At 51.1% G+C, this 13,103-nt stretch overlaps 1 long non-coding RNA gene across 1 annotated transcript in view, besides 1 other annotated feature; it reads left to right on the top strand.

Annotated features, from left to right (window-relative positions):
- LINC01237 (long intergenic non-protein coding RNA 1237) overlaps window positions 1-13,103 on the top strand; it is a 197,360-nt gene that overhangs the window by 51,489 nt on the left and 132,768 nt on the right. The gene's annotated exons all lie outside the window — the stretch shown is intronic.
- Window positions 9,149-9,648: an enhancer, noted in NCBI's record as "H3K4me1 hESC enhancer chr2:242884151-242884650 (GRCh37/hg19 assembly coordinates)". NCBI's record gives its function as "activates a minimal SCP1, AML or CMV promoter by ChIP-STARR-seq in naive H9 embryonic stem cells {active_cell/tissue: H9 hESC(naive)}" and the evidence as "EXISTENCE:reporter gene assay evidence [ECO:0000049][PMID:30033119]".

A 13,103-nucleotide genomic window follows, 5' to 3' on the forward strand; every position in this document is an offset into this window, starting at 1 on the left:
AGCATCCTGTTCCAGCACATCTCAGCCTCCCTGGGACAGGGGTCGCCGCTAACCTTGCGCCTTCCAACCAGGCAGCCTTCCCACGGGCCCATCCCTCCAGAAGGCCATGCCTTGGCTGGAACCAGCAGCTTTATTTAGCAAGGTCCCGGGTCCAGGCTGCCCTGTGACTCACAGGTAGCCGCCATGCCCGTAGGGGAACGGGATGACCCAGGATGCAGGCCCAGGAGCGGCTGCTACGCGGGAGGGGCTTCAGGATGACAAAACCCAGTGCCTTGGCCTCAGCAGGTGGACAGAACTGACCACAGTAAGGGTTTCAGAAGCAGACATCAGACTCAGCTGGTCCTCCTCCACCCGGAGGAGCACAGGCCACTCTTCCTCTGAGCTTTGCCCAGCTCATGCCCAGCCCCAAGAATGCCCAGCCCCCTCTAATCCTCCCTGGTCAGGGACGCCTGCTCCCTTGTTGGGAAAGCTTCACAGCCTCTGAGTGGCCAACACTTGGCCTCTGTGTCTGCCCCAGAACAGGAGGATGTGGAACGGGGTGTGGCTAGGCATCTGAGCAGGGCTTTAATTAGCTGATGTCAGCTGAACTCCAGTGCCTGGTTTAACGGCAGAAACAAATCTTTTGGTTGAAGTTCTTTCAAAAGGAGAGAGAGAAATTCATTCTGAAGCTACTCTGCAGACCAAACACACCAAGGGAACATTCTAGAGAGAAAACAACTCATTAAAACATTCCCAAAGCTAGTTTTGAAACCAAAGACAGGTATTTTGAAAAAATGTATTCATTTTACTTTTGAGTTTATGATGACAAATGTTACACACAAGCAGAGAGAGTGAGATAAAGACAGTCATAAAATGCTGTTTATTTTAGGCATTTAAATTCCTTTCTGCTCAAAGGAACAGCGTGAACGGAATGCAGAGCAGACGCTGATCGAGCTGGATTCCTTTTCTCACTGAATGCTCTTTTGGTTCAATGAGATTCTGTGAGTGCATCTCCGAGTAGGGGCTGAGGGCACAGCTCTCCTGGCTCCTCTGCTCGGTTACATCTACACAGTGAATACGCCCCAGGTCCCAGCCTGGGATCCACAGAATCTTGATATTTTCCACTTCTGGAAAATAAACTTCTGTTTTCTCCAGTTCAGCTGAGCTGAACATCTACAATGTCTGGCTTTACAGGTTTTGATGCTGAAAATATTTTTTATTTTTTATTTTTTTTTTGAGACAGAGTCTCACTCTGTTGCCAGGCTGGAGTACAATGGTGCCATCTTGACTCACTGCAACCTCTGCCTCCCGGGTTCAAGCTATTCTCCTGCCTCAGCTTCCTGAGTAGCTGGTACTACAGGCGTGTGCCACCATGCCCAGGTAATTTTTGTATTTTTAGTAGAGACGGGGTTTCACCATGTTGGCCAGGATGGTCTCGATCTCATGACGTCATGATCTGCCCACCTCGGCCTCCCAAAGTGCTGGGATTACAGGTGTGAGCCACCATACCTGGCCGAAAATATCTTTTACTTATTCGAAAGAGATTCAACAAAAGGCTCTTCAGACCTCAATCAGAACTGAGTCTGTCCAAACGTCAAGGAGCCCGGGTGTGCAGAACCTGCGGCACCTGCCTATCTCTCCTGTAAGGATTAGAACAGCAGCAAATGCAGAGCTGGTCGAAGTTTCCATCATGGTGGGGTACCTGCTGGCTCTGCCTTCTGCATCCTGGTCTGGAGCATAGGAAGGCCGCCCTGGGCCCATGAAGCCCCTCTGGTTCCTGCTTCAGACTGTGAAGTTGGCGGGGGGATGGGGGGACCAGGGTGGTCTGGTGCTCCAGTTTCCCCCAAAACCAGTGTCCTCAGGTTTTCACCCCCATGCAGGAGGTGCTGGCCTCAGACATAGAGAGAAGTGAGGCCACAGGTCACCCTGTGGGCAGGGAAGCTGGCCTCCACCCGGGCTCCAGATTTGTGGTGTCTGAGAAACTTGTGCCAGTGTGGAGTGGCCTGAGCTTTGCTCAAGGGTCTCATGGTGGGAGATGGATTTGGGCAGGAAGGTCCAGGCTGTACCAGGCTCCTTCTTCTGAACTGGGGCCCAAGACTACAGGGCAGGAGAGGGTGGTTGGGGGAAAAAATCTTTGCCCAGAGCTCCTCACCAGGTTTGACTCTCCAAAAACATTAAGGGACCACAAGATGTTGGTGTTACTGGGTGAGTAAAGGGGTGAGGTCTCTGAGCTGTAGAAAGACCCCTACTCTGTGTTTTTTGCACAAATCAAACCCTTAGATTCAGTATGGTGATTTGGTAACACCACCTGCACCTTCACCGACTATAGGACCCAGCCAGTGGTGTAATTTTGACTAATGAGCTGCGAGGTGGTCTTCTTGTGGGCTTTGGACAGGATTTTGTTATTCTTAAAAGTAAGACCATGGGCAAACAATGAACAGTTGGAAAATGAAATTAAACAAATTCTACTTACAATGTCAGCAAGAACCATGATATATATATGTTATATATATTTAACATGGTGTTAAGACCTGTACACTGCAAGCCACTCTGCACTGTAGAGAGAAATTAGAGATAACATCAAAACCTGAAGAGAGACAGGGATGCTCAGTATGCATGAGTCATCAGTTCTCCCCAAATGAAACCATAGATTTAATGCAATCCAAGTTGAAATCCAGCAGGCTTTTTCTGTAGAAACTGGCGAGTTGGTTTCATGACTCACTATAAAACAACAGTAATGACACCATGGCACTGCTGTAAGGATAAACACATTGATCAAAGCAACAGCAGAGTCCCAAAATAGACCCACATGTGTGGGATCAATAGGTTTTTGTTAAAGGTGCCAAGGTGCCTCAGCAGAGTGAAGAAAAGTTGCTGGAATAATCATGAGTGTCCACATGGGGAAAAAAAATGAACCTTGATCCCTACCTCACACTATACATAAACTTAACCCCAAAAAGACTAAAACTGCAAAACTTTAGACGAAAATGTCAAAGAAAATCTGTGTAACTTTTGGGCAGGTTGGGGGGGCCGACTTTTTCTGAAATGGGCAGAGTGAATATCCTGGATTTGGTGGGTTGCAGGTCTGTGGCAATGACTGAACTCAATGGCTGTGGCCTGAAGGTGGTCCACACAATGAGCATGGCACTGCGCCAATAAAACTTTATTTACAAACACTGGTATCCGGGCCATGGGCCATAGTTTGCCAGCCCCTGAAGTAGGCAAATATTGCTTAGACAGGACGCAAAAGGCATTCATGAAAAACAACGAGATAAAATTGACATCAAAATCAACAAATTTTACTCTTTGAAAAGCTTGTTTCAAAATGAAAAGACAAACCACAGACTGGGAGAACATATTTGTAAAGCACGCATCCAACACAAGACTCGTATGTGGAATCTACAAGGATTCTTAATACTCAGTAATAAGACAAGCGACATAATAGACAGGGGCAGAAGACCGGAGTGGACCCTTTGAAAAGGGCCTCTTCTGTGAAGAGGCCTGGGCGCCAGAGCGGAGGGATGGGGCGCAGCTGCCTCCCAGGGACAGGGTTCAGAGCCTCCGATGGCCTGTGAGGGAGGCGGACATGCCTGACCCTAAACAGAAGCAGAGGGAAGGGGCCGCAGGGCCGGTGGGGAGCAAAAGGCAGCGCAGGGCCCGTGGCCCAGCCCCCACCTGATGGCCCCCACACGCCCCAGGGCCCCGCGCACGCCCCGCCCCGCAGCTCGTGTTGTTTCCAGACGCGCCCTCGTGTGCACGGGCAGGGCCTCCTCCCCAGGCTCAGCGGGCGTGCAGGTTGGTCGTGTGTCCGCTGGAGGCCGCTTTGCCGCGGGGCCCTCAGGGAAGGCCTCCAGCCACCTGCGCTCACCGGGATGGGCTCCGGAGGCGACGGCCGCGTGATGGTCACGACGGGGCTGGCTGGCGGGCAGGGGGTGGGGGGCTCCGTAGCCCCGTGGCTTGTCTGTGCGCTCCTTCCCCTGCCTGTGATCTCTGACTCCTCCCGCCTCTCCCGCAGCCCTCGGAGGGGAGGTCCTCCACGGCGGGACGCTGGGCCCGCGTAGGGCTGCGGAGGACGCGGTGGGGACGGAGTGGCTGCTGTGGCTGTGCCTGCCCCGTGGGTGCACGATGGGCCGGGAGACGAAAACTCACTTGCACTTGCCGTGACAACAGGCGGCAGACAGTAGGGAGACCTTGAGTCTTTGGCAAAGACCTTGTTTTCCTCGGTGTTTCCCCTCCTCACCAGTTCACAATCCCCCAGTGCCCTGGAAGCCACAGTGGAGACGCCTTTTATCCACTCACCCGCTGCACCTGGAAGCTGAGTGCTCCCTTCCACGGGCCGGAGTGGGAGAAGAGGGTAGGAATGATTCCCTTGGGGGATAAGAATCCTGGACTCAGGATTAAGGGTGAAACTGAATTGGGACACACACATTCTGTATGGTATGTGCAATGTGTAATATTGTACACGCATATGTGGGTATATGTGATGACGGACGATTCGGCCTCCCCGAGACACAGCCAAGGCCTGGAGCTCTCTCTCATGTTCTCAGGGAGCCCAGGGTGCCTGGGGGTTGTGCAGGGTGTGTAGGCATTGGTCAGCTCTACCTGGGGTCCATGAGCTCATGCTCCCCGAGATCTTAGGATGCTTTGGAAGCGCTCTCCACTGGCCGGCCTTGCGGTTGTCATCCTGACATGCTAGCCCTGCCCTGAACGCCCCCGGGGACTCTGCACCGTGGCAGTTCACGTCAGCCACGTGCTCATCCCCACCCGCCAACCCCCACACAGCCCTGGGTCTCCCGCCTTGTCTGTCTTACAGTAGTAAGTGGTACAATATTGATGCCAACAGGGGAGCATGGAACCAAGGCCAGCAAGCTCCTGTTTACACCATGAGCATTAAGCTAATGGTGTTGCCTGTGTTTCAGGGCTACACTGATTTTTAAAAATGTTTTTATAGAGACACAGTCTTGCTGTGTTGCCCGGGCTGGTCATGAACTCCTGGGCTCAAGCAGTTCTCCCGCCTCAGCCTCTGAAGGCACTGGGATGAAAGCTGTGAGCGCCCATGCGGTCCTACACTAAATTTTCTAAAGCAAAAAACCAAAACCAAATCAGAACTCAATACGTGTGTCATCTGCTTGGTGTGTCCACACTGCTGGAGGTGTCTGAACTTCTAAATAATCCACTGGGTCCAAGAACAAACCACAAAGAAAGGTAGAATACAGCGATGGGAATAAAAATGAAAACACAACATTAAAATGTAGAAGATGAAGATAGCTGTGCTTAGAGAGAATTTTCTGGCATTACATTGCAAAAGGAGAACGATCAAAATCAGTGATGCAGTTCTGAACTTAGGAAGCTGAGAAGTAGGGTGAATTTATCTAGGATTGAGTAGAAGGGAGGAAATAAAGTTAATTCACTGGTTAGATTTAGAAAACAGGAAAACAGTGAAACCAGAAAATAGGCAAACAGTAAGAAAGGTAATGAACCCAAATGTAGGTTGTTTGAAAAAAAGCCAATACAATTTGATAAACCTATAGTAGGTAAGATGAAAACAGAGGAGATATTACTGATACTGCGAATGACAGAGGGATGTCACTTCAAATCCTAGAGACAGTTAAAAGGGTCTTAGGGAACAATTTTACCATAGTCATTCAACAGAATCTTTGTAAGTCTTTAACATCTTTGGAAGACACAAATTATTAAAACTTAAGAAAAAATAGAACATCCTAATAGCCTTATAATTCTTAAAAGAATTGAATTTGTAACTTAAGAACTTCCCTAGAAGAAGTCCAGGCCCAGATGGCATCACTGGTGAATTCATCAACCATGATGGAAGAAATTATATCAATCCCACCTAAACTCTTTCAGAAAATAGAGGTGCATGGAACACTTCCCAACCAAATATGAGGCCTGTGTTGCCCTTGTTGGGGCTCAGAAAATGATACCTCAAAATAAGGATCCAAAGAAGCAGCCCTAAGGTCTATTCGAGCTCCAAAATCTCTTGACCCCTTGCCTCTTCCAAGCATAGGAGAAGGCCACTCTCCCAAGGCTCTCGTCTACCAAGAAACCAGACCCCCAAAGAGAAACAAAATTGCTTTCCATTCCTTCCCTGAAATTCCATGAACCAGAGAAGATAAAAATTCACATCACATAGGAGGATTCTGAACGTCAGACACCACATCTAGAGCCCAGGTGAACTTCCTAGAGCTCTCGTGAACTTTCTAGAGCCCAGGTGAACTTCCTAGAGCCCACACGAATTTCCTGGAGACCAGAGACCAGGTGAACTTCCTAGAGCTCAGGTGAACTTCCTGGAGACCAGGTGAACTACCTAGAGCCTGGGTGAACTACCTGGAGCATGGGTGAACTTCCTAGAGCCCATGTGAACTTCCTGGCCCCCATGTGAACTTCCTGGAGCTCACGTGAACTTCCTGGAGCCCGGGTGAACTTCCTGGAGCCCAGGTGAACTTCCTGGAGCCTGGATGAACTTCCTAGGGCAGAAGTGAACTTCCTAGAGCCCAGGCAAACTTTCTAGAGCCCAGGCGAACTTCCTAGAACCCAGGTGAACTTCTTACAGCCCAAGTGAACTTCCTGGAACCTGAATGAGCTTCCTGGAGCAAGGGTGAACCTCCCAGAGCTCTCATGAACTTCATAGAGCCTCCGTTTACTTTCTAAAGCCCAGGTGAACTTCCTGTAACCTGGGTGAACTTCCTGGAGACTAGGTGGACTTCCTAGAGCCAGGTGAACTTCCCGTAACCCGAGTGGACTTTCTAGAGCTAAGGTGAACTTTCTGGAGCCCAAGTGAACTTCCTAGGTCCTGGGTGAACTTCCTGGAGCCCAGGTGAACTTTATGGAACCTAGATGAATTTCCTGGAGTGTGGGTAAACTTCCTAGAGTCCACGTGAACTTCCTAGAGCCTGAGCGAATGTCCCAGAGCCTGGGCGAATTTCCTGCACCCAAGGTGAACTTCCTGGAGCCAAGGTGAACTTCCTGGAGCCAAGGTGAACTTTCTAGAGCCCAGGTGAACTTCCAAGGTGAACTTCCTGGAGCTGAGGTGAACTTCCTGGAGCCGAGGTGAACTTCCTAGAGCCCACGTGAATTTCCTGGAGTCCATATGAACTTCCTGGAGCCCAGGTGAACCTCTGGAGCCCGGGTGAACTTCCTGGAGCCCAGGTGAACTTCCTAGGGCCCACGTGAACTTCCTGGAGCCTGGGTGAACTTCCTGGAGCCCAGGTGAACTTCCTGGCACCGAGTGAACTGCCAACGTTGTCCCAAGCCATTGTTTGTTCTCAGGTTTCATTCAATTACCAGAGAATCTTTGATAACGCTGCCTCCAGGGTCCATTCACTCCCTCCTGAAAATCATTTCCTCTCACACCCCCATCTCCCCTCCCCTGTGAAGAAGGATGTGGACCTCACTGGGTTATTGGGTAATTATTCTCCTGTGATTCTCCCATGCTGTTAATGTTAAGATAAATTTCTATGCTTTTCCTCCTATTAATCCACCTTTTGTCAGTGTATTTTCTGTGAACTTTCCGAGGGTGAAGGTGGAAGTTTTCCCTCTTTGCTTCGGCATCCTGGTACAAAAACTAAAGCCATCGCACAGAAAAGAAAACGAAACACCAGGGAGTCTATGAACGTAGATGCGAAGTCCATAGCAAAACATTAGCACCTCCAATCCAGCAGAGGGCAGTCCACCCTGACTTAATGCAGATCATCTCAGGAATGCAGGGTTGGTTTCACATCTGAAACTCAATCCATGTAATTCACAGTATTAAAAAGAATGAGGGAAAGTATTCCAACAAGACACAGTATGATTACTTCAATATACACAATACAAGCATTTGATACAGTCCAGCAGCCACTCGTGAAACAAGAGGAAACAAAGCACACAGCAAACAGAAAAAGAAGGCACGTTCCTCAACTTGGTAAAGGGCGTTCATGGAAAACCTGCAGCTTTCATCATCCACAGCCTCAACCTCCAGATGTGCTTCCCCATGCCTGGGACAAGGCCAGGACCTCTGAGTTGAGTTACATTAGACTTAGGTTGCACTGGAGAGTCCCATGGGCAGCAAGGCAAGAAAATAACTCAGGCATCCATGTTGGAAAAGAAGAGGAACCACTTTCTTCTGTAGGTGCCATGATCAAGTTTATGGAAATTTTAAGTTTCAAGTTTAAGGGAAATTTTAAAGTTATTAGAACATTAGTTCTGATACTAAATTACTAATTATTGAGTTGACTTCAGGACTGCAAAACAGAATGTCAATATTCAAAACCCAAATTTCTCTGAACAAATTTTTCTACACCAGCACTGAACAGCTGGATATCACTTACAATGGCTTCAAGCAATATAAAATATGTAGGGAAAGCATTGAATAAATACGTGCAAGACCCATGCACTGAAAGCTACAAAACACTGCTGGGATAATTCAAAGGAGATTCAAAGATGTGGCGAGACGGGAGACTCAGGGGTCATGAGTTATGGTCGCCGGTTCCTTGCTCTGGACCTATTATATCCGCTGTATTATTGCGGTGCCCACACCTATTTTATGCATGCAAAGCAAGGACAAAATTAGGATGACCCTATCCATACTGCAACAAAACAAAGTACAGCTGGAGGTGGAACGAGGTTTTATGCAGAGCCCATTGTGTGAGATGTCTGCTGCTTGGTATCACTTGGTATTTTATAAGACTTCACATTGGTTCAACTGGCTCCAGGTTTCTTAGCCCATGATTCCTTGCTGGGCTCCAGCGGTTTTTCGGCCTGTTTTAGAGAAGTGCCTTGGCTGCAGTGGATTTGAGCATTTTTGTAGGAATTGGAGTGAAAGTGCAGCCACTTGCATTTCTGAATGGTCACATGGAGCCCAAGGTAGAGGCAATTTTACCACTGGTGCAGAATGATCATTAAGACCACATCCCTTGAGGGACACCCCACTTCCTCCAACGTTCCAAGTTCCCTCCTACACTTTGTGCACGTGAGAGCTGCCTGGGCCTGGCCGGGCTTAGGGGTGGGGTGGTGGGATGGGCTGTCATGGGCATGGTGCCTGGCCCCTCCCCTGAGCCTGCAGCTTCCACGTCTGCCTGCTCTGCTCACTCCCTGCTACCTCCAGGCTGTCATCTGTTGTTTGAGGTTGGGGTTCCTTGTTTTCTGGGTTGTCAGGGAGGGTGTCAGTCCATTGGGCCAGGAGCAGACCAGCTGCACAGGATGGCGGCCTGTCACAACGTCAGGGACTGGCCTGGCTTTGGAAGCGTGGCTGACAGCCGGCGGGGCTGTGTTTGCAGGACGTGGAGGCTGGGGTGTGGGGAGCCCCGCACAAGGCATGTTCCAGTTGCTCCGGTGGGATGTGACGTGGTTACACCAGGGGAGTGGGAGGAGGTGGGTGCGGCGGGGAGGGGGTAGAACAAGAGAAGTCACTTTGGAGGGAGAGAAGGGCTTCGTGGCTCAGGCGTCTGAAAGGTCAGGAAGAGCCATGTAGAGTAAGAGGGACAAAGAGGAGAGAGTCTGTCTCAGTCCATGGGACCCCTGATGGAGAACGGAATTGCACCATGGCTGCCTGGGCAGGGACCAGCATCATGGTTCTGTCTCATGTCTGGACCCCTGTGTCCTCATGCTGCCTGCAGTGGGTGGATTGCAAACACTCCTTTGCCTAGGCGCTGTGTGAAAAGTCCAGTGGAAATCTTGATTCAGCAGAAGTGCCTTCACAACGGGCCCATAAGTCCTCCTGGAAATCTTTACCATACGTAAACCCAGACATGGCACCACAGGCAATGGCCCGATCAGGCCTCAGAGGAGTGCTTGCAGCTGTGGTTCCGGCTTCAGGAATTCCTAAAATTTACAGTGGCATTTCAGGCCTTGTGCTGTTGGGCCGCTGGATTATTTTATTTGTTAAAGAATGTATTTCTGTGTGCTAGCTCTGGCTTAATTTCTTGTTATTTTGGAAAGCTGGACATCTTAATTTTCCTTTAATTGCATTGGCACTGTGAGTGGATGGGATAAACTATTAGCAGCGGTGGCGGGTCGTGGCTGTCTGGCTGTCGTCCCTGCTGTGTGTGCTGTTGGGGCACCGCATTACTGCTCTGGGTCCTCTGTGTAATGCATCAGGTTCCTGTGGGTGCCGTAACCAGTGACTCTTACTCAGCCACAGCAGCTCACATTCATCGCCCACGGCTCTGTGGGCCAGGAGTCAGGGGCTGCACTGGGTCCCCTGCTAAGGGTCTCACAAGGACAAAATCGAGGCGTTGACTGGGCTGGGCTTTATCTGGGGTCTCTGAGAAGGGAACCTGCTTCCAGGGCCATCCAGGGAGTGTGCAGAGTCCAGTCCTTGTAGTGCAGGACAGGGGTCCCCCTTCCTCGCCACTCTCAGCCTCTCAGCCCCGTGAGGCCGTCTGCACTCCCCATCATGTCCCCTTCCCCACCCGACGTCTTCAAATCATCAGGAGTGGCTTGAGACCTTCTATCGCTTCAAACCCTCTGCAGTCCCTTTCTGCAGACTCTCTTCCGTGTCTGCTTGGAGAAGCTTCCCTGCATTCCAGGGTTCATGTCATTGCCCTCTGCCTGCTGGATAGTCCCAGATACTCCCCCTGTTTTAAGGTCAGTAACCTTATTTGCATCTGTAAAGCCCATTTTGCCATGGGACAGCGTTTGCTCACAGGTTGTGGGGACTGGAGTGTGGGCGTTTTGGGGGGCATTTATCCCAGGGCAACGGGCAGCCCTGATATCAGAACCGGAGAGAGGCAGCAGCTGCCCTGAGGCCCAGGAGTTAAGAGGGGGATTGGGCTCCCAGCGTGGCAGAGCTCAGAGGAGAGCACTCCCCGGTAGGCACGCAGGCCCAGAGGGCAGGGGAGTGTGACTCGGAGGTCTTGAGCCCCAAGGCCAGGCTCCAGCGGTGACATGAGACCTGGCAGAAGCTGGAGCCGGTCGGGTGCTGGAATGGAGGGTGGCTTTCCTCTCTCCCACCTTCCAGGTCTCTGCCAGTGCTGCTGTTTGGCAGAACCTTCTGGAACTTCCCTGCTGGTGGTGATCTGGGAAAGGTTTGCAGATCTCAGTTCCAGAATCCCAGAGCAGAATATGGAAGCGGGGACTCCGTGGGAATATTCAAGCCACATGCCCTCCGAGAAACCCTCAGACTGGGAGATTCTGGGACTGTAGATAGTATTTATTCTGTAGACAGCATTTTTATCACTGAGAATACTTGACAACATTCTGCACATGGCGAGTGAGGAGGGGTGGCTCAGGGTGCACCCAGGGTGTGTGTTTGGCACTGGGTCTTTGCATCCTGCAGCTGGGGCCTGACTTGGTCCTGCAGGCGGTCGGGAGTTGCTGCCACCCCGAGGTCGCTTCCCAGAGGGCGGAAGGCTGTGGAGAAGTGTGGACGAAACCCAGTTTCTCCATTTAGATGCCGTTGTGTAAACTGTGCTTGCATATCAGGGGATATGTAGATTCCAATGAGTTTATCAAAAGCAGGACATACATTCTGAGGTGCAGAGCAGATGGCGTTCTACTGAAATAGGCAGGGGAGTTGATGCCAAGCCATGCCCAGGTCGTACTGACAGGTGGCATGGGTGAGATGGCTCCCGGGAGCTCCGTGGAGACTGCAGGGTGGGCGAGGGACACAGGTAATGAGGGGCCTTCGAAGAGGCCATTGCACACAGTCTCACAGTCTAGGCTTTGTCCCTACCCCACGTGGAGTGCATTTTCCAGGACGTGTGGAACAGAAAAATCCATACGATGTTTGCCTTGAGAACAGCTTATTCTTATTTATATTTTTATTTATAGAATAGCTATTTTTCTACAAAAACATGATTTTATTTTATCATGGAATCACAATGTTATTTATAAGGGATAACTTCATGGGGAGCCGTGGATAGAGGCCTGCAGCTGGTGGTGTTCATCATATAACTGATTGATGGGAATTTGCGTAGAAAGTCCGAACATTGTTTCGAAAGTGAGCCAAGGCAAGCTGTGTAGACAAGATAGTTTTGTTGTGTTCTTGGGGGAATATCCAGCGTTCATCAATGGCCCTGGAGCACCTGGCAGAGACTGTCAGCCCTGAGTGGCCAGCAGAGACTGTACCGCAGCCACGGGGAAAGGAGCCATTAGACTCAGCATCTTCCGTTCCCACTTGGTAATCTGCCCGGTCCTGGCAGGAAATAGGTTAACCATGGCCAGGGAAGGACCAAGGCCGCCCCGATGGGCATCACCCCACCTGCCTGGAGGCAGTCGCCACCCGCAGCTCTGCCCCCACCCTCCTGGTACGGTTTGATGTGTCCTCTCCAAGTCTCCTGTGGAAACATGGCCTCCAATGTGGAGGTGGGCCATGGAGCAGATCCCTCATGAATAGCTTGGCACCGTCCTTGCCATGGGAGCTCATGCGCAATGTGGTGGTTTAAAGAGCCTGCTACCTGCCCCTGCTTGCTCCCGCTCTCGCCCTGTGACGCGCAGGCTCCCTTCACCTTCCACCACCAGAGGAAGCTTCCTGAGGCCTCACCAGGAGCCACTGCTGGCGTCAGGTTTCCTGCATAGTCTGCAGCACGGTGACCAGTTAAACCTCCTTTCTTTACACTTCACCCAGCCTGGGGTGTTCTTTCATAGCAATGTGAAAATGGACTGGCACAGGCCTTCTGGGTGCCGCCTGACAAACCCAAGCCAAGCCCCAGCCGGAGCCCGCGGTGGGAGTGGGCCGGGCAGGTGGGGCTTGGGGCAGAGGGTGCAGGGCGGGAGTGTGTCCAGGTGGAACCAAGTTTCCAGCGCCACCCAGGGGTTGCCGTGGCACCAGTGGGCGTCTGTGGCTTTCCGATGGTCCCTACGTAGGGACCAGGCACAACAGCTCTCAGATGCACCACGAGGCCTGATGGGATTTGCACAGGTGCGGGGACACTGTGGCCAAAATGGCTTCAGATGATCTTTTTCAGGAAAATATTGTCTCAGCAGTTTGCAGCACCCGTGGACCATGGTCACCCCTGACCCGTTTTACAGACCTCACTGACTGTGAGGGGATGAGTGTGATCTGAACTAGGAAGTGTGGGTGAAATGAGCATGCACGCGTGTGTGTGCGTGTGCGTGTGGGTGTGCGTGTCTGTGCATGTGTGTGTGTGAGTGTGCATTGTGTGTGTGTGCATGTAAGTGTGCATGTG

The sequence above is a fragment of the Homo sapiens genome, chromosome 2, assembly GCF_000001405.40.
Source record: "Homo sapiens chromosome 2, GRCh38.p14 Primary Assembly".
In the NCBI taxonomy this organism is placed as follows: Eukaryota; Metazoa; Chordata; class Mammalia; order Primates; family Hominidae; genus Homo; species Homo sapiens.